The sequence below is a fragment of the Homo sapiens genome, chromosome 16 (genome assembly GCF_000001405.40).
Source record: "Homo sapiens chromosome 16, GRCh38.p14 Primary Assembly".
NCBI classification, from domain to species: Eukaryota; Metazoa; Chordata; class Mammalia; order Primates; family Hominidae; genus Homo; species Homo sapiens.
In genome coordinates this window covers 86,739,184-86,764,391 of record NC_000016.10, presented here as the reverse complement: position 1 = coordinate 86,764,391, position 25,208 = coordinate 86,739,184, and the positions used below count along the sequence as shown (strand labels likewise).

The following is a 25,208-nucleotide window of genomic DNA, read 5'->3' as shown; positions in this document are numbered from 1 at the left end:
GCTCTAGAAACACATCTGGAGAGATTTCTTGCACATTTTCCACTACTTCCTGGTTTATTCCAGATAGAAAAACTTATGAATATGGAAGGTAATAAGCTTTGCCCCTTATGTCTGCTAAAATTTACCTGCCCAGAAACGGGGGTGGGAATTAACATCACAAAGCCCACCTGGCATCTTTTAGAGATGCATTCAAGCTGCTTCTCATTTCATCCACATCTTTCCACCCACGGCCGGTGAAGAACATGAAGAACACGACGTGGTACATTTTTAAACCGTCCGATCCTGTAATCAGCCAATAATATGTGTTCACTTGAAGCCCGCCCAACACACTGGCCAGGCTTTCATCATCATTCCCAATCACCAAGCAGACTGCCCAGGCGGCCACTACCTCTCAGGAAGGCTTCTGGGACAATCTCAAGGCGATGTGTGAACTCGGGAATCTTGTAAGCATTTTGCTCACGCAACTTGGCTTTCTTTGGAACTTGAAGCTTGCTTCTGTTCAACTGAAATCAAAATTGCCTGTCATGGAGATGTGCTTGCAGGCTGTGACTGCGGCTCCACACTGGAACTTTTAGCTACAACCCCCACAAACACTGACTGAGAATACTGAATGGGGTGCTGGGGTGAACAGAGGAAAACTTTGGATGCTGAGAAAATGATGCAAGCTCAGTGACCTCCCATTCAACTGGAGGGGGTCTGTGGGGATCAGAAGAAGCAAGGCTTCACTGGTTTCCATTTTCCTGAGCTAACGGCCACAAGCTTATTCCAATGGACCCTTGTGATTTGAGATAGTTTGTGCTGGCTGCATTTGGAGCTCCAGCTTCCGTGGGAGTTGGAGCGGAAAGAACACTGAAATGTCCTCTTCTTGCTGGGAGCCGTGGACACCTCTTCTGGAGAAGGGTGTGTAGGGAGCCCAGATGTGAAAGCAAAGTATTCCAATCCCTCCTCTCAGCCTGGAAGGAGTCCTGCCCTCTAGGGGTGCCCCATGATGAAGAGGAGATGGGCCGGGCCTGATGGCTTATGCCTGTAATCCCAGCACTTTGGGAGGCTGAGGCGGGTGGATCACGAGGTCAGGAGATCGAGACCATCCTGGCTAACACAGTAAAACCCCGTCTCTACTAAAAATACAATAATAATAATAATTAGCCGGGCGTGGTGGCGGGTGCCTGTAGTCCCAGCTACTCAGGAGGCTGAGGCAGGAGAATGGCATGAACCTGTGAGGTGGAGCTTGTAGTGAGCCGAGATCACGCCACTGCACTCCAGCCTGGGGGACAAGAGTGAGACTCCATCTCAAAAAAAAAAAAAAAAGAGATGGCAGAGAACAAGGTGGGGGGAGCCTGAGAAAAGCCCCAAAGTGGGGGCCACCATGGGACACTCTGGACACTCTGTGACCTGGACCAATTATCTTTCCTCCCTGGCTTAGGTTTGCTTGTCAATAGTAATAACAATGACAGCAGCAATCATAATTGCTGAATATGAATAGTCCTTCCTCCCTGTCTGCACAAAACCCCTCCTTTGGCTATGTCATACAGAACTGTGCCCATCATAACTTCGTGAAGTAGACATGAGCATTAATCCATTTTTACAGATGAAGAAACTGAGGCACAGGGATGTGAAGTAACTGGCCCAAGTGGGTGACAAAGCTGGGATCGGAACCAGGTAATTCAACTCCAGACCCGTGTTATTCACCACAAAGCTATCCTGCCTCCCTTGTGAAATAGGGGTTTGAGCTGGAGCTGGGGTTCTCAACCTGGAGTAACTAGGCAGTGGGTTTCAGGGATCCAGTGAGCCTCTGAAATGGACTGGAATGTGAATATACACAGGCATTTCTGCATGCTCGTAGATTGTGCTAGATTCTCAGAGGGGTTCCTAACCCCTCCAAAAAGACCATGAATCCGGAACCACCACATTGAGGACCTGAGAGCCCCCTCACCTCCCAGCATAGAAAACTTTCATCTCCAAGACAGAAACGCTGTGATCCATGGGCACATGGTGAATACAAGCAGCTGTCCCATTCCCGCCATATCCTCTGGGCGTCCACTCTCAGCACCCCCTCCCCACACACACCGCAGGGCCCCCTCCGGGTCATGAGCACGGCCAGCAACACCCTCCTCTGGTTCTATCTAGATGAGCCTTGTGCAGGCGTCTCCCCTCCTCCCTCACACCTCTCATCTTGTGCTTCTCCCTGTTCTCCTGCTTCTTCATGACCTACTTTTTGTTCTGTTCCCCATAGAAGAGCAGAAAAAGGAAAAAAACAAAACAAAACAAAAAAAGCCTCCGGGCAGCCCCGTGAGCACCTTGTCCTGGTTGCCTTCCTCATTCTGATTTTCCATGTTAGTGCAGCAGATACTGTGTTGGCTCAAAGCAAGGACACTCAGGCTTCCACGTGGATAAGAAGAATCTGCAAAATTTGCCTTAAAAAATGCAAGTCTCTTTTCGTTCTGATGTAATTAGCAGGTATTCACGATTGTGATGCAACCAGCCTCGGAGACACCCTGAGAAACGCCGCCTAATGGAATCCATCCCTCGGGACAGAAGCCGCCGGTCTTCCCTGACCGCACCCACTCGCCCCACAGAGCACCCCCTCCTTGTCAAAGCCGGCGACTCTGCAGGCTTCTGGTGCAGACAATGTGGCCACCAGATGCACGGCACCCAGCTTGCGGGGATGCCGGGCAAATGTTATTACAGCGATAACAGTGATTCTGCTTAGGATAACAATGATGGAAATCTGTATTAAATGACTTGAAACTGCTGATGCCTTTCCTTTTCCCCAAAGAGAAGAAAGGGATGCGAATGTGTCACTTGAACTGGCTGCTGCGGTTCATCTGGACTCCATCGTTCCTGCCATCATCTTTATTAGTAGCATTGTTTTAAAAAAATGAGTAAGTTTGAAACCACCAGGTGTTTTGAATTTTTATCTTGTTCACTTGCTTACATGAGGAAATTCAAATGGAGACCAATGCATTAGTAAAAGCCCAGTGGAAGGAGAGTGCCCCTTCTCTCCCGGGTGGGGGGCTCCCTGCCCTCCCTGACAGGCTCCCCCTAGTTCTGGGTTCTGGCTGCAGTTCCAGCCCCGACCACCAGGAGTTGATCTCGGGAGCGTTATCTGCGCAGCTCCTTCCCAGTCCTCCTCTGAGTCCTCCGTGACTTCAAGCAGCCACACGCCTCCTTCTCCCTCCCTGTTAATCCCCACCGAAAGCAGGCTTGGTGTGGCCGCTCCCCAGACTCACAGGCCCTTCCTGGTTATTTCTGCAGAATCCACTCTCCCTGTCAGTCTGGGAAAGAAAGCAGAGAGAGAAAAAGAGCTGTAGCGTCAAGGGGACTGCCAGATCCCGCAGCAATCCTCCGTGCTCCAGGGTCTCCTTCGGGCGCCTTGCAATCTCAGCGCCAGCTACTGAACACCTAGAGTATTGTTCAGTGGAGGATGCCAAGGGAGGCCTCGAGCCTGAATTAGCCCCGTGAAAGGGGTCTTGCTCCCCCGCTCATACGCTGAGGTCCAGGGAGCATAGGCAGCTTCCCCAGGGCGACCATAAGGGCCCGCACGCAATGTGGTGACCCCCTTTCCCTCTGTCGTTTGGCCACCTCAGCTATTACAACAGGAAGCCATTGGCCGGGCGCGGTGGCTCACGCCTGTAATCCCAGCGCTTTGGGAGGCCTAGGCGGGCAGATCACGAGGTCAGGAGATCAAGACCACCCTGGCTAACACGGTGAAACCCCGTCTCTACTGAAAAAAAAAAAAAAAAAAAAAAAATTGGCCGGGCGTGGTGGCAGGTGCCAGTAGTCCCAGCTTCTCGGGAGGCTGAGGCAGGAGAATGGCGTGAATCCGGGAGGCGGAGCTTGCAGGGAGCCGAGAGCACGCCACTGCACTCCAGCCGGGGTGACAGAGCGAGACTCCGTCTCAAAAAAAAAAAAACAAAAACAAAAACAAAATGCCGTTGGCATTTATTGCCAATACACAATGCATGTGTCAAAGGCACCGTGATGGGGATAGAATGGTATTTCTATGTAGCCTGGAAGAAAAAGTGAGAAAATATCCATTTTACTAGGAAAGCTCTGTCCCCTTCCCCACAACTGTGTAGACTGCAGGGTGGCCCTTTGGTGGTCTTTCTTATCTCTGCAAAAATCTGGGCAAGGGCAGGAGGATGAAGCGAAGCCCGGCTTTTTAAGTCTCGTATTGGTAGCTTTGACGAAACGGGTTTGTGCAGGAGGTGGAAATTAACTAAAATGAGATGGGAGGATTACGAGGGGATTTTTCCTACTCGGGCAATCCTGAGAAGAGAGGGGTGACTTCAGCGAAGGGGCACATGCTGAGCCTCCTCTCGGGGGAGAATTAGACTTAAGAAGCCACTTGCTGATAAGGGTTAATCCATGGCTAAACGCGACAGTACCAGAAGTAATTAACATTCCTTGACTCAGTTTCCCTTTGGCTACACGGCACTTAACCTGGTGAACAAGAATCTCCATTTGTTGTAATGAGCCCATCAGCCTAAGTCTTTGAGTTCTATGCTGTTTTTCCGTAGCTCTTCTGACCCGTGGGGCTGGGTTTCAGCCACTGCGATAGCTGGGTGTGTAGCAGAGCCCCAAGGAGGTGGCCCATCTCCCGTCCTTTTGCACTAAAACAGTTAATCCTGAGCCACAAAAAAGTACTGCAAGCAGCAGAATGCACTGTTAAGGGATTTTCTCAAACAGTGTCCAAAACAAGAAAGGAATGAGGAGGCCATTTACATGGATTAGGACCCTGGGGATGTGGTAACACAGGGTTTTTATTCTCTGCTTTTCTGTTTTTTCTTTTTAATTGACATCATCCCTTGATATTCCCCAAACAGACTCTAACTTTCTTATCTTATTGGAAAGCTCTAAAATGGAAGGGTAAAAGAAAATTCCAGAAACACAAAATTTCTGGAACACTCGAAAACAACGATTCATGAAAAATAAAAAATTAATTGAAGACTAAAGTGGGCCCATGTGCAAGACTTAAACGGAGGCACGATTTAGCACACTTTGCATTTTGCACCTACATGAAGCACTTAATTTGTCTGGGAAAAGAGAGTTGGGGGTGGGGAGGGCCATATGCTGGAAAATGAAACCTTAGCTGATGTGAAAATAAGATCTTGTGCCTTTCAGGTTATTTTTAAGCTTCTCTTTTAAATGAATGAATTTTTTTTTTACAGTGCCCGATTCCAGATTATCTTCTATAATTGCATTATCCTGAGATTTACCAGGATAAAGTGACCCAGCTTAGTTGCAATAATCAATAGCAGTTGTAACAACAAGCACATGTGCAGGCTGCCTTCCTTCACGCCTACTTCCCGGCTCCCTTCTCTGTCGGGATAGGAGCGTGATGCCTCCCGCTGCCCGGCACTCCCCTGTGAAATTACAAATTGCCAGTATTTTTTCCAGCCTAGTTTCATCTGATTCAACACATGGACCTGTCACCAAATCCCCTAATAGCTGTTACCGGGGCAAAACTTCTTGATATCCGGCTTGGTTTTTCCTTTGCTCCATCCATTCAATCATTCTATTAATCCAAATTATACTGCCTGGTACTGCAGAGTAAGTTCCCACTTCTTGGAAGGAAAAGATTTTTCTCTGTTGGTCCACACAGATCACTTATTACATCTTAATTCCAGATGAGAAATGTCAATAAACGGAGGACATTGCAGTTTGCCGGCGGCCACTGTGAGTAAGAGTTAAGGAGAGACGTGGAAGAGATCTAGATCTATGAATATGGGAACCAGAAAACTGAGGACGATAGTCCTAATAGCTGCCTCCACACCCAAGTAAGGGGCATGGAAGCATGTACAACCTCAGCCTTCCTTTATTCTCACAACATATCTCCAGAGATATGTATTAGTGTGGGACGCCGAGGCAGGCACATCACGAGGTCAGGAAATCGAGACCATCCTAGCTAACATGGTGAAACCCCGTCTGTACTAAAAATACAAAAAATATTAGCCGGGCATGGTGCAGGGCGCCTGTAGTCCCATCTACTAGGGAGGCTGAGGCAGGAGAATGGTGTGAACCCAGGAGGCGAAGCTTGCAGTGAGCCGAGAGCCACTGCACTCCAGCCTGGGCGGCAGAGCAAGATTCCATCTCAAAAAAAAAAAAAAAAAATGTATTAGTGTTATCCTTACATTAGGTTGACAATACCATAGGTTGGTGCAAAAGTCATTATGGTTTTGCCATTACTTTTTTTTTTTTTTTTGAGAAACAGTTTCTCTCTTGTTGCCCAGGCTGGAGTGTAGTGGCACAATCTCGGCTTACTGCAATCTCTGTCTCCCGGGTTCAAACGATTAGCCTGTCTCAGCCTCCCAAGTAGCTGGGATTACAGGTGCATGCCACCACGCCTGGTTAATTTTTGTGTTTTTAGTAGAGATGGGGTTTCCCATGTTGGCCAGGCTGGTATTGAACTCCAGTCCTCAGGTGATCCACCTGCCTCGGCCTGTCAAAGTGTTGGGATTACAGGCGTGAGCCACTGTGTCCGGCTGACATCACTTTTAATGGTGAAAACCACAATTACTTTTGCCCAACCTAATATTACAGATATGGGAACTGAGGCCCAGAGAGGGTAAGTAACTTGCCCAGGGTCACACAGCTTGAGCAAGTTGCTACCTAACAGTGGATCCTATCCTGCTACTTTTTGGAGATATTAAGACAAGGGTTAACCAGAGTTGCTTTCCTGGGGCAATAATAACAGAAGTCTGTGTGTCAGGTCAGTGCAGGAAAGCAGACACAGCACAGCAGGGTCAGGAGGGTGCGGTGGCGGCAGGTTCCTTCCAAGCTCTGCCCACAGTCCTGGAACCTGCTTCAAATCCATAGCCAGGCCCTTACCCCAGACTCACCCTCAATTTCCTTTGAAACCTGGAATGCTGCTTCACAAAGTCAAGCCTGTTTCCTTCCTGGTTCTCATTTTTCTTCCACACTCTGACCACAAAAAACCCTTTCAGAAACACCCGCAGACGCAAACCCACCAGCCAAATTCAAGAGAATCTGAGATAAGGTTGAAAACCCCCATTCACCAAGGCAAGGCCTTTTTGCCACTTTCCACATCCCTGGCCCATGGAGGCTGTGTGGGGATTTCATGCTGCTGGCCAGACCGTCCTCAGGGTGAGAGGGAAGGACAGTGAGCGGCGGGGGCTCCACAGAGACAGGAAGGAGAGAGAAGGGGGAGCATCGTGGATCCTAAAGCAGATGTTAATGAGAGCTCATTTTCCTGTGTTAGGTGCTTTGCAGGCACTTTCTCAGCTCTCATTATCTCAACAACTCACACACTCTCTAGTAAGCTGATGCTGAAATGGGAAGTTGTTCCAAGCATTCCGGGCAGAGGCTGGCCCTTCGCTGCCTCCAGGTGACCTCCTAGACCAGAACAAGAAATCCTTTAGCTGGAGCTGGAGTGCCCGGCTCCAAATCTCGGCTTTGTCTCAGCACCTTGAGTCTGTTTCCTCATATATAAAATGGGAATGAAAACTGTACCTCCACTATAGGGTTACCATGAGGGTGAACAGAGTGCAAGTTTATGAGAAGCTCAGAGGAGTGCCCAGCCACAGAAAGTACTCCACAATTGCTGAAAGCTCATGGAATCAAATAAAAATGAGGCTGGGTGTGGCGGTTCACACCTGTAATCCCAGCACCTTGGGAGGCTGAGGTGGAAGGATTGCTTGAGCCCAGGAGTTTGAGACCAGCATGGGCAACATAGTAAGGAACCTGTCTCTACAAAAACATTTTGAAATTAGCTGGGCACGGTGCCATGTGCCTGTGGTCCCAGCTACCCTGGAGACTGAGGCGGGAGGATTGCTTGAGCCCAGGAGGTTGAGGTTGCAGTGAGCTGTGATTACACCACCACACTCTAGCCTGGGTGACCGAATGAGACTCAAAAAAAAAAAAATAATAATAGAGGCCGAGGAGGGTAGATCAGTTGAGGTCAGGAGTTCAAGACCAGCCTGGCCAATACGGTGAAACTCCATCTCTGCCAAAAAACACACAAAAAATTAGCTGGGCGTGGTGGCATGTACCTGTAATCCCAGCTACTCAAGAGACTGAGGCATGAGAATCGCTTGAACCCAGGAGGTGGAGGTTGCAGTGAGCCGAGATTGCGCCACTGCACTCCAGCCTGGGCAACAGAGTGAGACTCTGTCTCAAAATAATAATAACAGTAGTAGATTTAATATAATAAAAAACAAACAAAAGAATTGGTAACTAAAACTTGACAGTGAGACAGGGCACATACATGGTTCAGCCCAGCCAATAGGCATGGGATGGATACTCTGGGGTCTTCGAGCAGCTTCAAAGTAGCATTCAGGTGGAGATTTTTTTTTTTCGCTCTTGTTGCCCAGGCTGGAGTGCAGTGGTGCGATCTTGGCTCACTGCAACCTCCGCCTCCCAGATTCAAGGAATTCCCCTGTCTCAGCCTCTGGAGTAGCTGGGATTACAGGCATGCACTGGTGGGATTACATCACATCCGGCTAAGTTTTTGTATTTTTGGTAGAGACGGGGTTTCACCATGTTGGCCAGGCTGGCCTCAAACTCCTGACCTCAGGCGATCCACCAGCCTCGGCCTCCGAAGTGCTGAGATTACAGGCGTGAGCCATGGCACCAAGCCAGGTGGAGATTTTTTAAAAAGAGGCTGCAATCCAATTCCTTACTGCTGCCTCCATCCACCTGGGGGAGGACCCTGCGCAGTGGTGAAGAACACTGGGTTTGGAGTCAGATGGAGCTGGATCCAGGCCCGGCCTCGGCTGCTCACAGCTGCGTGACTTCAGGCCCGGGTTTCCACCCTCTGGGCCTCGGTTTCTTCCTCTGTTGGTGAGCGGCAGTGAGTTCCGGGAAACTGGCTGTGATAAAGAGCGGTGGAGGGCAAGGACCCAGCCACACTCTGCTAAGCCAGATACCAAATAAAGACAGAGGCAGAAATGTGGACCAGGGCCACTCTCCTCACCACATTTTTTGGTTTTGTAAGATACTTATTTCTTATAAAAATATATTTTTCGTGTTAATGTGAAATGGGCTTATGATTACTTTAAAGTGAATCAAGACGTGGAATACGTTAAAAATTACTTTGTTTCATTTTCTAATACGATACATATTGATGGCTATGACCCGCAGAAGGGACAGTTTGAGGATCCTCAGTATTTTTTATGTATCAGGTGTTCTTGGAACAGAAGTGTTTTCGCACCATGAAGTTAGAAAAGCAGCAGTTTCCATGATCTGAGTCCCTCACGTGTCAAAAAAACAAAACAAACCCCACACTCAGTTCCATGTCCTCTAAGTTCTCCATTTTCAACGATCACTACTGTTGCTGAGTTTTCCTTTTTGTGGCCATCACACGGGTTGTTTGAGAGAATACGAGGTTAGACCTTTCCAAATAAATAGAAATGATTTTGTAGTTACAGAGTGTACACAATACCGACCACTAGTAAATGTCTCTCTCTCTACTTTCTTTTAATCTAAACACAGTCAAAATATATTTGTTTTGAAGCTGAGCATGAAAGGAGAGGGAGAAAGGGTTCAGTTGTTTTCAGGGTCCTCTCTCAAGGAGAGTGAATTCTACCTCTTGCCTGCTCAAGAAAATGGTTCTTCCAACTAAGGCTGAAAACCTGTCATCCTAACAGTGATATTTCCCCAAGAACCTTTAATCTGTCAAAGGAGGCAGCTGCGGTTCCACAGAAAGAGCTGTCCTGGATGAAAAACAATTCCAAATTCTAGCTCAGCCTCTTGTGAGCTGTGCACCCCTGGGCAAGTCACGGCACCTCTCTGAGCCCATGTCCCCATCTGTAAGATGGCACTAACTCCAAGTGCCTCACGGGAGTGGTGGAAATGCAATGAGATAATGCATGTAAAAGTTCCTAAAAAGAGTTGAAGATGTAGGACGGGTGTGGTGGCTCACGCCTGTAATCCCAGCACAATGGGAGGCCGAGGCAGGCGGATCATGAGGTCAGGAGATCGACACCATCCTGGCTAACACGGTGAAACCCCATCTCTACTAGAAAAACGATATAAAAAATTAGTCGGGCATGGTGGCGTGGCGGGCGCCTGTAGTCCCAGCTACTTGGGAGGCTGAGGCAGGAGAATGGCGTGAACCCAGGAGGCAGAGGTTGCAGTGAGCAGAGATCGCACCACCGCACCCCAGCCTGGGCAACAGAGCGAGACTCCGTCTCGGAAAAAAGAAAACAGAGTTGAAGAAGCATTATTGTTTTAACCACAAAATGGGATTACAAAGGTAATGTGTGTCCCACATACAGAATTTAGAAAAAACTAAAACAGCACATTGCAAAGGAGGGAACAAAAATGGCCAGGAATCCCGTTCCACTGTTAAAATGGCTTGCGAACTCCATGAGGCGGGTAGAGAGGTGTTGGCCGTGCCACCTAATCAAGCTGACTTCACTCTGCACAGCGCGCGTTCTGATACATGTGTGCCCGTGGGTGCGCACTAAAGCTCCAGGGAACAGGGTGCAGTGCCAGGTCCCCGCTGTACAGCGAACGATTTCATCATTACAGAACAAAATTTGGAAAACTAATTTTTAAATGGAAATGTTGTAAATGGCCATAAACAAGAGTAGAGCATCCTCAATGTTTCTTCTCCTCAACATCTCTGAGCATGTTCAACAGAAGGGCTCTGTGCACGTGGCAAACATCTCGTGGGCCGGGAAGCTTGCTAGATGGAGCTGCCGCACCTTTAAGACTTGTCAGCCTCTTTGCAGGGACATGGATGGTGCTGGAAGGCGTTATCCTCAGCAGACTAACGCAGGAACAGAAAACCCAAACATCGCCTGTTGTCACTGATAAGTGGGAGCTGAACGACGAGAACACGTGGACACATGATGGGAAACAACACACACCGCGGCCTGTTTCAGGAGTGTGAGGGGAGCGAGAGCATCAGGATAAATAGCTAATGCATGAGGGGCTTAATACCTAGGTGATGGGTTGACAGGAGCAGCAAACCACCATGGCGCACGTTTACCTATGTAACAAACCTGCACATCCTGCACATGTAGCCTGGAACTTAAAATAAAAGTTGAAGCGGGGGAAGAAAAAGACTTGTCAGGCTTCTAAAAGCCTCCTCCTATGTCCAAAGTAAGTCCTCATGTTGGCTTATGGCCAGGCGTGGCAGGGATAAAATGTGTGTGGGGGGTGCATTAGATTTTCGAGCTGCCCCTTTCCTGTTGGAGATACGGGAACACCAGCTACCGTGTGATGGGTTTTTCAGAAGGCATCAGGCCCCAGGCTCAGGCCCTCAGCAAGCTGGGTCTCCATCCCTCCTCCACAAGGTGATGAGGAGTGGATTATGCTGCCCGTCTTACAGATGGTTTTTCAAGGTGTCCAGTGCGCACACAGAAAGCCCAGCTGCGGAGGCCGGCCGCCAGACCCCAAAGGGACGAACCGTCATGGGACGCCGGTTCTCTTCCAAAGCTTCGCTGCGGGAAGCCAGCCTTCTCGCTGGGGCCCTCGAGGCTGACAGATTCCTCTCCAAGCCTCACTCAGGTGGCTCCTCTCTGCTGCCCACTCTGCCATCCCCGGTCTGTGAGGCCCTCGAGGGAAGGAGCGCCTGTCTCTGTGCACGCTGTTGGTGCTGAGTGATGCTCGGGTCCTGCAGGAGAGGAGCCTCTGGGTGAGTCGGATTGCATCAGCCGGCAGCCCACGCAGCGCTGCTTCCCTCTCCTTAGACATCGCTTAGTGCCAGAAGAGGCTTCGTGGTTCCTGCTGGTCTAGAGGAAAGGTTTAGGAATAAAGACACAGGCTCGGACAGCCCTGGACACCCCAGGGTTAGGAGCCTTAAGGAAAAATGGGAGGAGAAATGGCTTTTCAAAATGGAAAGTGTTATGCAGACAGAGCTGGACACAGAGCTGCTATTTGCTAAGATCCGTGAGTGACTTGAGGCCCCTGAACACGCTGCGTTCTGCCCTGGAAGTTGTGGGCTCCGGCTTCCAACACTGGCTTTGGTGCCTCTCGATGCTTGAAAAACTTGAGCCTAAAGGATCAGTTCACAGATCTGAGAGCTGACTCCGTGGGAGTCCCTTCAATGAACTCTCCGGTTGGGTGTGAGGATGTGATGAACTCCGAGGGATGCTTGGAGTCGGGCAGAATGGTCCAGTGACCAGACCCAGACCTGAAACGCTGCAGAGCATGGGGCTGTAGGGGATGGATCATCGAGGAGAGGTTGCGCCTCGCCCAGGTCACAAACAACCTTGACCTCCAGGTTTATGTTTAAAGAGAGAAAAGGCCATTCCCTGTTCACGCTGCAGGCCCGTCACAGAAGGCAGGGGCTGCTATTCACAGAAGCCCCCAAGGACATGGCCCATGCAGTGGTGGCCGTCTTGGCCACTTCAGTTGCTCCCCTGACCCCCAAAAGGGGGTTTGGAGGCCGCCATTCAGCAATTAAACGCCCTAGCCCATTCTTCACTGGCTCATCCTTCATTGGCTGAATTAGTCAGGTGCCCACCCAGCCCCAATGGGGACTGATGGATGGGCGTGGCAGGAAATGGTTGGCAAACAGCACCAGTGACCACCACACAGAATAGAGAGGTTTCTGCTGAATCCTTAATCGCTCAGAGAGAGCTGGGTTGAGGAAGATGCTGAGGTCAGTGGGGGAATGCGTGGCCGCCAACAGAGGGTGCCGGGGGAGGGCTCTGCTGGGGGTGTGTGCCCTGGAACTGCCTCCCCTGAGCCACACCAACTCTCCCACTTGCTGATAAGAAAATGAGGGTGCAAGGCAGCAGTGGAGGGTGAGGCGAGAGCCAGGGTTTCTGACTCCCAGGCCAGTCTCCTCCCAACCTTGGCCATGTTGTTACTTCGAGGACTCAGCTGGAAAATCAGATAATTGAGGGTTTTAGATTTCCTGTCCCCATTACATAGCAAGACTCTCTCCCTTCCTTAAGAAATAACACAAGAGGTGCCAGTGTGTGGCCTCTTCCCTCCAATCTGGAGCTGCTGACACAAGGGGGTCCCACAGAATGCCTAATGTGGAACTGCTGAAATTCCTGACATTGAAAAAAAAAAAAGATGGAGAGAAAATGTAACTGAATCTCTGTTGTTTGTTCACATAGAACTCAAATGATCCTGTCTTTTATTCCTCAGTGCAGGCTCATGTGGTTGGCCACATGTTGGCATCTGGGTTTGTAATTCTTACCAAATGAGTCAGCAGAGAGAGGAACATGGAGTTTTTCTTAACAGGCGTCTTTGAGTCAGTGCCCACTACCATTTAAAAAAAATGCTGGAGTCCCCGCTTCCTCTCTTGCTACGGAGAGACATGGCTGGCTTGTTCCAATGTGTGAATGCACACTTGTTTCCTTTCTGGAGGGCAACCCGGGCAGTGTTTCAGGCACACATGCGCGGACCCAATGTGCATGCACACATGTGTGCACAAACATCTTTGATGAGTTTGCAACTGGAAAAGTGTCTACATCTACCCCAGGCAGGAGCCACCACAGCTATAGACGGGCTCAGCTACAGCTCACCTGCTGGGTCAAGCCCTGAAGCAACTGGCACCAAAAGGCCAAGCTCAGCCCAGAAAAGGAATCCTTCCACAGCTTATTTATACTAACATGTAAATGACTGACATCTTTTTTTCTTTTTCCTGCTTTTTCCTTTGAATAAGTTTTGGTAGGGCAGAGGAGCTGAGGGTCCACAAGATCACAGATGGGTGGATGGTGGGGAGGGCCAAGGATGTAGGGGAAAGGAGTTGCTTTAAAATAAAGGAGAAGGCCAGGCACAGCACAGTGGCTCACGCCTGTAATCTCAGCACTTTGGGAGGCTGAGGTGGGCAGATCACTTGAGGTCAGCAGTTTGAAACCAGCCTGGCCAACATGGCGAAACCCTGTCTCTACTAAAAATACAACAAAACAAAACAAAACAAAACAAAACAAAAATTAGCTGGGTGTGGTGGTGCACACCTGTAGTCCCAGCTACTCAGGAGGCTGAGGCAGGAGAATTGCTTGAACCCGGGAGGTAGAGGTTGCTGTGAGCTGAGATTATGCCACTGCGTATCTTATGCCTGGGTGACAAAGCAAGACTCCATCTAAAAAATAAATAAATAAATAAATAAATAAATAAATAAATAAATAAATAAAAAGAAAAGTTTAAACAGAGGAAGATACAGGACTAAAGACAGACTTTTGTCTTTTCAGACGTTTATCAAGAAGTGACTTTGAGCTCACTTTGACTTGGTCTGATTGGAATATATTAAAGATCTTTCTCCCCTAACTGCTGTTACTTGGCTGGAAATCTTCCAGCTTAGGGCTGCACAGGTCCCACAGGCTTTGTATCTGTTCCTTTGTTTCAGGCCCCCTTGGGAAGTCCCCCAAAGCACACCCTAGTTATCCCTCCTTGGGAAGTCCCCGAAAGCACACTGTAGTTATACCTCTTAGACATCCTTTTGCAATAGATGACCTGTGCCACCAAAACCAGACACTGTGCTTTTACGTGCGGTGTTTAAACGAAAAGCAACTTGCAGAGGGATGTTAGGGAATGAATGTGGAACAAGGGAGAAGAAATGGACAATACAGAGAATGACAGCTGGGGTCTTCTCCCCCTCTTCTCTCCAAGTCTCAGAATGTTGCAGGGGAATCTAGGAGGTAGTGCTTGGCCAAAACCGTATTCAGGGCTTCTTAAATCTCCGTGCCTTTTTCCTGGAGTACTAGGCTTCACACGACTAAAAAGGTATGATTATTTTCAGGCATGGAAAAATAAAGTGGGGGTTGGGCTTGGCTAATATAACTCATGTTCAGTCCCTTCCCTGCTCCCCGTTGAGCTCTGTGAGTCCACATCTCTGTATCTGACCTCTAAGAAAATATGCATCTCAGGGGGCTCTGATACGCATCACTGCTCACGCATGTGTACACGAGCACACCTGGCCACGAGTCCACGCCAAACACACGCTTGCCAGGGATGCTGGCAGGGTTCTGTGGGGACAGCCCCAGGAGGCGATGGACCAGTGGACAGCCAAGGCCAGGTAGGGCACAGGTGATGGGAACCTCATTCACGGCCTTCTGCTGGCCCAAAGCCCAGTTCTTAGCACTCCATGCCTTGAACAAAGCCCTTGGAGGCTACCTCCCACCTATAGGATAAAGTGCAGGCAAGTGTTTCCCCCTGGCTTTCAGAGTCCAGGAGCCAACATCACACGGTGGCACTTACCGTGGCTAGCAAGGCCCCTCAGCAGCTCCCCTGCCCCTCCAGCCCCTCTCTTTCTACATCCTCCTAGGCATAGCCAGCCTATCCATGACTGGGATGACACAATGGTGTTAGCGAGGTTTAAATAGTTTATGGTCTTTGCATAACCATAAAGCAAGAGTTGTAAGTTATACGACAGGCTAGAAGCTTGTAGAGCATTGACATTAGCTGGGGGTGGGGAGGTAGGCATTAATAGCTTTTTTCTTACAGATGAGAAAGGTCTGCTCTAGCCCAGTGATATTCCTATGCAGGAATGCCTGCTTGCCTATGTTCTTCTGCTTCTAGCACCAACATCCCCCAGTTACCAAAGCCTGGAATCAATGTGCCTGACTGTGCCTTGCCCCAGGGCTGGTGGATCATCAGGTCCCAGCCACAGCTGTCCCTGAACATCTCTCGGCCACTGACTGAAGGGAGCTGGGGTAACTGGGGCAGGGGTATACACTGTAATCCAGGGCCCCCCAGCGGGATTCAGGTCCAAATGCCCTGAGTGATGCTGGGTGGGATCACACGCCCTCAATGGGCCCTTCCCTTCCCTGCCTCCCCTCCCACCCTTCTACAGGTGTGGCCAGGGATCACCTCCCAAATATGTGAATCCTTGATCTAGAATTTGCTCCTGGCAACTCAAACCAAGGCAAGAAATTTTTTTTCTTTCTTTTTCTCTTTCTTTCTTTCTTTCAGACAGATTCTCATTCTGTCACCCAGGCTGGAGTGCAGTGGCACAATCTTGGCTCACTGCAACCTCCGCCTCCTGGGTTCAAGTGAGTCTCGTGCCTCAGCCTCCCGAGTAGCTGGGACTACAGGCACGGGCCACCACGCCTGGCTGATTTTTGTATTTTTAGTAGAAACGGGGTTTCACCATGTTGGCCAGGCTGGTCTCGAGCTCTTGACCTCATGATCCACCTGCCTCGGCCTCCCAAAGTGCTGGGATTACAGGCGTGAGCCACTGCACCCAGCTGGCAAGAAACTATTGATGGGAAAAGAACAGCATATTTGAAATGCAGCCATTTCGGGAAACAACCACCACCCAGAACATAGGATCACATTCAGAGGAGACACAAAGTAAACACAGATGAGGAAATGAAGGTCTTCGTGGCTCACAGGCGATAACCACGCAGCCTCCTGTGGCGCGGTCCCCAGCTCTCCAATGGCAGGGACAGTCTACGGGTCGTGTGTCCAGACATCAGTTCTGGTCCCACCCTACACTGGCCTGGTTCCACCTTCTGATTCCGTCAGAAGGAGGCGATGGCCTTTGCTGCTGTCTGTTAGCTGAAAGCATGGGCAGCCCATCCACGCTGCCCCAGGGCACTGACAAGACCTGGCATGGTGGGTGGTGAGCCTCGCCACAAGATGAGCCTGCAGTGAGTTCAAGCAAGAAAATGAGAGATCCTGATACGCTGTCCAGGACTCTTCCTGGGAAGCGTGTGAGTGGAAAATAGACACAACTTCATGATGAAGGCTGGGTATGCCCAGGAGGACGTAGAAAGAGGAAGCTGGCAAGTGCGCCTGGGGGAGAACAAAAGACAGAAAGGGGGGTGCAATCTGCCTGATATGGTTGCATTAGTTCATGGGGTGATTGTCAGGCCTCTGAGCCCAAGCCAAGCCATCGCATCCCCTGTGACTTGCACATATACGCCCAGATGGCCTGAAGTAACTGAAGAATCACAAAAGAAGTGAATAGGCCCTGCCCCACCTTAACTGATGACATTCCACCACAAAAGAAGTATAAATGGTCGGTCCTTGCCTTAACTGATGACATTACCTTGTGAAAGTCCTTTTCCTGGCTCATCCTGGCTCAAAAAGCTCCCCCACTGAGCACCTTGCGACCCCCACTCCTGCCCGCCAGAGAACAAACCCCCTTTGACTGTAATTTTCCTTTACCTACCCAAATCCTATAAAACGGCCCCACCCTTATCTCCCTTCTCTGACTCTCTTTTCAGACTCAGCCCACCTGCTCCCAGGTGAAATAAACAGCTTTATTGCTCACACAAAGCCTGTTTGGTGGTCTCTTCACACGGACGCGCATGAAATTTGGTGCCGTGACTCGGATCGGGGGACCTCCCTTGGGAGATCAATCCCTCGTCCTCCTGCTCTTTGCTCCGTGAGAAAGATCCACCTACGACATCGGGTCCTCAGACCGACCAGCCCAAGAAACATCTCACCAATTTCAAATCCGGTAAGCGGCCTCTTTTTACTCTCTTCTCCAACTTCCCTCACTATCCCTCAACCTCTTTCTCCTTTCAATTTTGGCGCCACACTTCAATCTCTCCCTTCTCTTAATTTCAATTCCTTTCATTTTCTGGTAGAGACAAAAGGGACACGTTTTAGCCATGGACCCAAACTCCGGCGCAGGTCACGGACTGGGAAGGCAGCCTTCCCTTGGTGTTTAATCACTGCAGGGACGCCTCTCTGATTATACACACACATTTCAAGGGTGTCAGACCATGCAGGGACACCTGCCTTGGTCCTTCACCCTCAGCGACAAGTCCCGCTTTCCTGGGGCAGGGGCAAGTACCCCTCAACCCCTTCTCCTTCACCCTTAGCGGCAAGTCCCACTTTCCTAAGGGGCAAGAACCCCCCAATGGCTTATTTCCGCACCCCAACCTCTTATCTCTGTGCCCCAATTCCTTATTTCCATGCCCCAACCCTTTCTCTGCTTTTCTGGAAGGCAAGAAACCCCTACCCCTTCTCCGTGTCTCTTCTCTTTTCTCTGGGCTTGCCTCCTTCACTATGGGTAAGCTTCCACCTTCCATTCCTCCTTCTTCTCCCTTAGCCTGTGTTCTCAAAAACTTAAAACCTCTTCAACCCACACCTGACCTAAAACCTAAATGCCTTATTTTCTTCTGCAATGCCACTTGACCCCAATACAAACTCGACAGTAGTTCCAAATAGCCGGAAAATGGCATTTTCCATTTTTCCATCCTACGAGATCTAAATAATTCTTGTTGTAAAATGGGCAAATGGTCTGAGGTGCCTGACATCCAGGCATTCTTTTACACATCAGTCCCTTCCTAGACTGTGTGCCCAGCGCAACTCGTCCCAGATCCTCCTCCTTTCCCTCCCGCCTGTCCCCTCAGTCCCAACCCCAAGCATTGCTGAGTCTTCCCAGTCTTCCTTTTCTACAGACCCATCTGACCTTTCCCCTCCTCCCCAGGCTGCTCGTCACCAGGCCGAGCTAAGTCCCAATTCTTCCTCAGCCTCCACTCCTCCACCCTATAATCCTTCTATCACCTCCCCTCCTCACACCCGGTCCGGCTTACGGTTTAGTTCCGCGACCATCTCTTCCCCACCTGCCCAGCAATTTACTCTTAAAAAGGTGGCTGGAGCCAAAGGCATAGTCGAGGTTAATGCTCCTTTTTCTTTATCCCAAATCAGATAGCGTTCAGGCTCTTTTTCATCAAATATAAAAACCCAGCCCAGTTCATGGCTCGTTCGGCAGCAACCCTGAGACACTTTACAGCCCTAGACCCTAAAAGGTCAAGAGGCCGTCTTATCCTCAATATACATTTTATTACCCAATCTGCTCCCGACATTAAATAAAAGTCCAAAAATTAAATTCCGGCCCTCAAACCCCACAACAGGATTTAATTAACCTCGCCTTCAAGGTTTACAATAATAGAAAAAAGTTGCAATTCCTTGCCTCCACTGTGAGACAAACCCCAGCCACATCTCCAGCACACAAGAACTTCCAAACGCCTGAACCGCAGTGGCCAGACGTTCCTCCAGAACCTCCTCCCCAAGGACCTTGCTACAAGTGCCAGAAATCTGACCACGAGGCCAAGGACTGCCTGCAGCCCAGGATTCCTCCTAAGCCGTGTCCCATCTGTGCGGGACCCCACTGGAAATTGGACTGTTCAACTCACCTGGCAGCCACTCGCAGAGCCCCTGGAACGCTGGCCCAAGGCTCTCTGACTGACTCCTTCTCGGCTTAGCGGCTGAAGACTGACGCTGCCCGATCGCCTCGGAAGCCCCGTAGACCATCACGGACGCCGAGCTTTAGGTAACTCTCACAGGGGAAGGTAAGTCCGTCCCCTTCTTAATCGATGTGGAGGCTACCCACTCCACATTACCTTCTTTTCAAGGGCCTGTTTCCCTTGCCTCCATAACTGTTGTGGGTATTGACGGCCAGGCTTCTAAACCTCTTAAAACTCCCCCACTCTGGTGCCAACTTAGACAATACTCTTTTAAGCACTCCTTTTTAGTTATCCCCACCTGCCCAGTTCCCTTATTAGGCTGAGACACTTTAACTAAATTATCTGCTTACCTGTCTATTCCTGGACTACAGCTGCATCTCACTGCTGCCCTTCTCCCCAACCCAAAGCCTCCTTTGTGTCCTCTTGTATCCCCCCACCTTAACCCACAAGTATAAGATACCTCTACTCCCTCCTTGGTGACCAATCATGCACCCCTTACCATCTCATTAAAACCTAATCACCTTTACCCCGCTCAATGCCAATATCCCATCCCACAGCATGCTTTGAAAGGATTAAAGCCTGTTCTCACTCGCCTGCTACAGCATGGCCTTCTAAAACCTATAAACGCTCCATACAATTCCCCCATTTTACCTGTCCAAAAACCGGACAAGTCTTACAGATTAGTTCAGGATCTGCGCCTTATCAACCAAATTGTTTTGCCTCTCCACCCCGTGGGGCCAAACCCATATACTCTCCTATCCTCAATACCTGCCTCTACAACCCATTATTCTGTTCTGGATCTCAAACATGCTTTCTTTACTATTCCTTTGCACCCTTCATCCCAGCCTCTCTTCGCTTTCACTTGGACTGACCCTGACACCCATCAAGCTCAGCAAATTACCTAGGCTGTACTGCCGCAAAGCTTCACGGACAGCCCCCATTACTTCAATCGAGCCCAAATGTCTTCCTCAACTGTTACCTATCTCGGCATAATTCTCATAAAAACACACGTGCTCTCCCTGCCAATCGTGTCCGACTGATCTCTCAAACCCAAGCACCTTCTACAAAACAACAAACTCCTTTCCTTCCTAGGCATGGTTAGCACAGTCAGAATTCTTACACAAGAGCCAGGACCACACCCTGTAGCCTTTCTGTCCGAACAACTTGACCTTACTGTTTTAGCCTAGCCCTCATGTCTGCGTGCAGCGGCTGCCGCTGCTTTAATACTTTTAGAGGCCCTCAAAATCACAAACTATGCTCAACTCACTCTCTACAGTTCTCATAACTTCCAAAATCTATTCTTTTCCTCATACCTGACACGTATACTTTCTGCTCCCCGGCTCCTTCAGCTGTACTCACTCTTTGTTGAGTCTCCCACAATTACCGTTGTTCCTGGCCCAGACTTCAATCCGGCCTCCCACATTATTCCTGATACCACACCTGACCCCCATGACTGTATCTCTCTGATCCACCTGACATTCACCCCATTTCCCCAAATTTCCTTCCTTCCTGTTCCTCACCCTGATCACGCTTGATTTACTGATGGCGGTTCCACCAGGCCTAATCGCCACACACCAGCAAAGGCAGGTTATGCTATAGTACAAGCCACTAGCCAGCCTCTTAGAACCTCTCATTTCTTTTCCATCGTGGAAATCTATCCTCAAGAAAATAACTTCTCAGTGTTCCATCTGCTATTCTATTACTCCTCAGGGATTATTCAGGCCCCCTCCCTTCCCTACACATCAAGCTCGAGGATTTGCCCCACCCAGGACTGGCAAATTAGCTTTACTCAACATGCCCTGAGTCAGATAACTAAAATACCTCTTAGTCTAGGGAGATGCTTTCACTGGATAGGTAGAGGCCTTTCCTACAGGGTCTGAGAAGGCCATCGCAGTCATTTCTTCCATTCTGTCAGACATAATTCCTCAGTTTAGCCTTCCCACCTCAATACAGTCTGACAACAGATGAGCCTTTATTAGTCAAATCAGCCAAGCAGTTTTTCAGGCTCTTAGTATTCAGTGAAACCTTTATATCCCTTACGGTCCTCCGTCTTCAAGAAAAGTAGAATGGACTAAAGGTCTTTTAAAAACACACCTCACCAAGCTCAGCCACCAACTTAAAAAGGACTGGACAATACTTTTACCACTTTCCCTTCTCAGAATTCAGGCCTGTCCTCGGAATGCTACAGGGTACCGCCCATTTAAGCTCCTGTATAGACGCTCCTTTTTATTAGGCCCCAGTCTCATTCCAGACACCAGACCAACTTAGACTGTGCCCCAAAAAAACTTGTCATCCCTACTATCTTCTGTCTAGCCATACTCCTATTCACCGTTCTCAACTACTCATACATGCCCTGCTCTTGTTTACACTGCCGGTTTACACTGTTTCTTCAAGCCATCACAGCTGATATCTCCTGGTGCTATCCCCAAACTGCCACTCTTAACTCTTGAAGTAAATAAATAATCTTTGCTGGCAGGACTATGCTGAATCTCCTTAGGCGCTCTCTAATCAGATGTCCTGAGACATCCCAATTCTTAGACCTTTTATACCTGTTTTTCTCCTTCTCTTATTCCATTTAGTTTCTCAATTCATCCAAAACCGTATCCAGGCCATCACCAATCATTCTATACGACAAATGTTTCTTCTAACATCCCCACAGTATCACCCCTTACCACAAGACCTCCCTTCAGCTTAATCTCTCCCACTCTAGGTTCCCACGCCGCCCCTAATCCTGCTTGAAGCAGCCCTGAGAAACATCGCCCGTTCTCTCTCCATACCACCCCCCAAAAATTTTCACCGCCCCAACACTTCAACACTATTTTGTTTTATTTGTCTTATTAAGAAGGCAGGAATGTCAGGCCTCTGAGCCCAAGCCAAGCCATCGCATCCCCTGTGACCTGCACGTATATATACGCCCAGATGGCCTGAAGTAACTAAAGAATCACAAAAGAAGTGAATATGCCCTGCCCCACCTTAACTGATGACATTCCACCACAAAAGAAGTGTAAATGGCCGGTCCTTGCCTTAACTGATGACATTACCTTGGGAAAGTCCTTTTCCTGGCTCATCCTTGCTCCAAAAGCACCCCCACTGAGCATCTTGCGACCCCGACTCCTGCCCGCCAGAGAACAAACCCCCTTTGTAATTTTCCTTTACCTACCCAAATCCTATAAAACGGCCCCACCCTTATCTCCCTTCGCTGACTCTTTTCGGACTCAGCCCACCTGCACCCAGGTGAAATAAACAGCTTTATTGCTCACACAAAGCCTGTTGTGTGGTCTCCTCACACGGACGCGCATGGAAGTGATCTTTGCTATTCTGGGTTTGTCTGCTGGAGGAAGAGGGAAATCACCTATTTGATTTTGTATTCATTCATGTCCTGTTCCTGGAGAATCTCTGTTGTGTGTCAGGCACAGCTGAGCCTCCCTGTATAGCCTCCTCTATCTTCCACCTACAGAGGAGGAAATGGAGCCTCAGAATCAGTGCCTTTCTTGTTTGTAAGAAACAGCTATGAATGCCTAGCTCCCCCTCGAATTTCAGTACTGCGTCCCACCATGCCGCACGGTGCCGATGAGCCGGCTGGACCTTCATGGCAATGGTGGCCCTCTAAAAATAGGATCCCCCACCCGGAGGAATGGGGCCACCACAGGAAGCAGCTCAGACCACTTCCAGGGGACATTCTTCTGCCTCCAGTAAGCTGAGGATAGAAGTGGAGCCGCTGACGGATGAATGGACTGTTTGCCTGAGTCATAAATCAACAGGGACCAGCCCTGCCTCTGAACGATTCTGGTCTCTACACTTCGCTCCTGATCACAGGCTGCAGAGGAAGCACGTCTCCCAGGCTGGGGCCGGCATCCGATCCAACGCTGCCTTTCCCTCTAGCAGCGGCTCCCGCAGGGAGGGTCTCCCTGTCCCTAGAACCGGAGCGTGAAAGTCAGCAAAGTCCCATAAATCACAGGAAATGAACTTCTGCCTCTTTAAATTCCTGCCGCCGTCCCCATCCCTCCCACAGCCACAAATAGATTTCTTTCAATATTGGCTCTGACCTCAGCCCTCCCCGCCCCCACGTCTCCTTCTCCACGTTTTTTTTTTTTTTTTTTCCCAGCAAACCCTACAAGGCAGAACTTACCCTGCTGACCTCACCAGCGTGGTTTCTTCTGTTGTGTGTGTGTTTTTGTTTTGCTGTGATGCCGATGACTTGCGGTTTGCCTCACACTTTGTAGTGTGCGTGGCAGTCGTATAAGAAAACAGCAAATTTGTCAGTTAGGCTTGTTATTTATTACAGGAACCATGGGGATGCCAGGCAGCCAGGCTGGCCCCTCCGCCCGCCACCTACCCCACGGTTGAAGGGGCTGCACTGGCCGGGGATGCCAGACCAAGGGCCCAGAGAAGAGGCACGGCTTCCGAGGGTGAGGAACAGCGAGGTCCTGGCAGCTGCCTCTCTTCGAACACAATGTTGAGGAGATGCTTTTTGTTTTTGTTTTTAAAATTCATTTCCATTGGTTTTTGGGGAACAGGTGGGGTTTGATTACGTAAGTTCTTTGGTGGTGATTTGTGAGATTTTGGCGCACCCATCACCCGAGCAGTATCCACTGCACCTAATTCGTAGTCATTTATCCCTCACCCTCTTCCCACCCTTCCCCACCGAGTCCCCAGAGTCCACTGTATCCTTCTCAAGCCTTTGCATGGGAGGATGCTTTTAACTGGTAAAAGGCAATAGTAGAAGTAACAGCCCGAGGGCTCTCCGTGGCCAGTGCCTCCCGAGATCTCGAGGGCACCCCTTCTCCCGCCTCCCCTCCCACCTCCACCTAGGCCACACGGGCCATGCCGGCCCCAGAGCTCCCGTGCCACGGGCAAAACACAGCTGTGTCTCAAAACCCTACGCCCAAAGTGCCTTCTCCCAGGCTTCCTTCCAGCTCATCCGCCACCTTTCTCTGCACTTGGCCCAGACGTCGTCTTTCAAGTCCGGCCTCCCCTAGACCTCGGCTTCTAAAATTGCAAAGCACCCGCACTCCAACAGGCCTCCGTGCCTGGCTCTCCTCTACACCTTCGTCCCCACCTGCGTTACTGATCTCTGTGACTTACTGGCTTCTTCCCCCGAGGAGGGCATGAGCTGCACGACAATGGCTTTGTATCTGTGAGAAGCTCTAATCGTATTTGCTGTTTATTGTGGGCTGGGTTGCATCCCCCCAAACTCACACGTCGAAGTCCAACCCCCAGGATGTCATAATGTGACTGTGTTTGGAGATAGGGCATTTATGGAGGTAATTAAGGTAGAATGAGGTCACCAGCATGGGAGCTAATCCAGTAGGACTGGTGTCTCCGTAATAAGAGGAGATGAGGACACAGACACGCACGGAGGGCGACCTTGTGAGGACACAGAGAGAAGACAGCTCTTACAAGCCAAAAAGAGAGGGCTTGGAGGAAGCAGTCCTGCCGGCACCTTGATCTCAGACTTCCGGCTTCCAGAACTGTTAGAAAATAAATCTCTGTCATTTAAGCCACCCGGTCTGTGGCACTTTATGTTCAATAAATACCTATCAGATGAATAAATGAATCAATGAGCCAGGTGTGGTGGTCCACGCTTGTAATCCAAGCACTTTGGGAGGCTGAGGTGGGCGGATTACCTGAGGTCAGGAGTTCGAGACCAGCCTGGCCAACTTGGGGAAACCCCCACCTCTACTAAAAATACAAAAATCAGCTGGATGTAGTGGCGAGAGCCTGTAATCCCAGCTACTCAGGAGGCTGAGGCAGGAGAATTGCTTGAACCTGGGACGCAGAGGTTGCAGTGAGCTGAGATTGTGCCACTGTACTCCAGCCTGAACAACAGAGTGAGACTGTCAAAAAGAGAGAGAGAGAAAGAAAGATTGAGAGAAGAAAGATAGAAAGAAAGGAAAGAAAGAAAGGTAAAGAGAAAGAAAAGAAAGAGAGAAAGAGAAAGAAAGAAGAGAGAGAGGAAGGAAGGAAGGAAGAAAGGAAGGAAGGAAACTAGAACTTATCAGACACTTCACAAGTGGGGAACCGTTCCTAGCTGAGGCTTGGTGGACTTGGGAGGATATTAGTAATGCAGATGTTTTGCTCCTAAGACTCCAAGACTGTTTTGCTCCTTCATTCTTTGCACACAATTCCGTGGCC

General features: G+C 49.6%; 1 long non-coding RNA gene across 1 annotated transcript, besides 4 other annotated features; it reads left to right on the top strand.

The window, feature by feature from the left end:
* The first annotated feature begins 366 nt into the window (after positions 1-366).
* On the top strand, positions 367-2,894 carry LOC105371392 (uncharacterized). Its single transcript, XR_933864.4, has 3 exons — positions 367-900; positions 1,589-1,659; positions 2,455-2,894. It is a non-coding gene; the product is annotated as an uncharacterized LOC105371392 (long non-coding RNA).
* Positions 12,995-13,289: a silencer, noted in NCBI's record as "tiled region #6377; HepG2 Repressive non-DNase unmatched - State 22:ReprW, and K562 Repressive non-DNase unmatched - State 22:ReprW". NCBI's record gives its function as "represses a minimal TATA promoter and a strong SV40 promoter by Sharpr-MPRA in HepG2 and K562 cells {active_cell/tissue: HepG2 | K562}" and the evidence as "EXISTENCE:reporter gene assay evidence [ECO:0000049][PMID:27701403]".
* Positions 14,940-15,441: an enhancer, noted in NCBI's record as "H3K4me1 hESC enhancer chr16:86782557-86783058 (GRCh37/hg19 assembly coordinates)". NCBI's record gives its function as "activates a minimal SCP1, AML or CMV promoter by ChIP-STARR-seq in primed H9 embryonic stem cells {active_cell/tissue: H9 hESC(primed)}" and the evidence as "EXISTENCE:reporter gene assay evidence [ECO:0000049][PMID:30033119]".
* Positions 16,540-17,083: an enhancer, noted in NCBI's record as "OCT4-NANOG-H3K27ac-H3K4me1 hESC enhancer chr16:86780915-86781458 (GRCh37/hg19 assembly coordinates)". NCBI's record gives its function as "activates a minimal SCP1, AML or CMV promoter by ChIP-STARR-seq in naive and primed H9 embryonic stem cells {active_cell/tissue: H9 hESC(naive and primed)}" and the evidence as "EXISTENCE:reporter gene assay evidence [ECO:0000049][PMID:30033119]".
* Positions 21,359-22,105: an enhancer, noted in NCBI's record as "NANOG-H3K27ac hESC enhancer chr16:86775893-86776639 (GRCh37/hg19 assembly coordinates)". NCBI's record gives its function as "activates a minimal SCP1, AML or CMV promoter by ChIP-STARR-seq in naive H9 embryonic stem cells {active_cell/tissue: H9 hESC(naive)}" and the evidence as "EXISTENCE:reporter gene assay evidence [ECO:0000049][PMID:30033119]".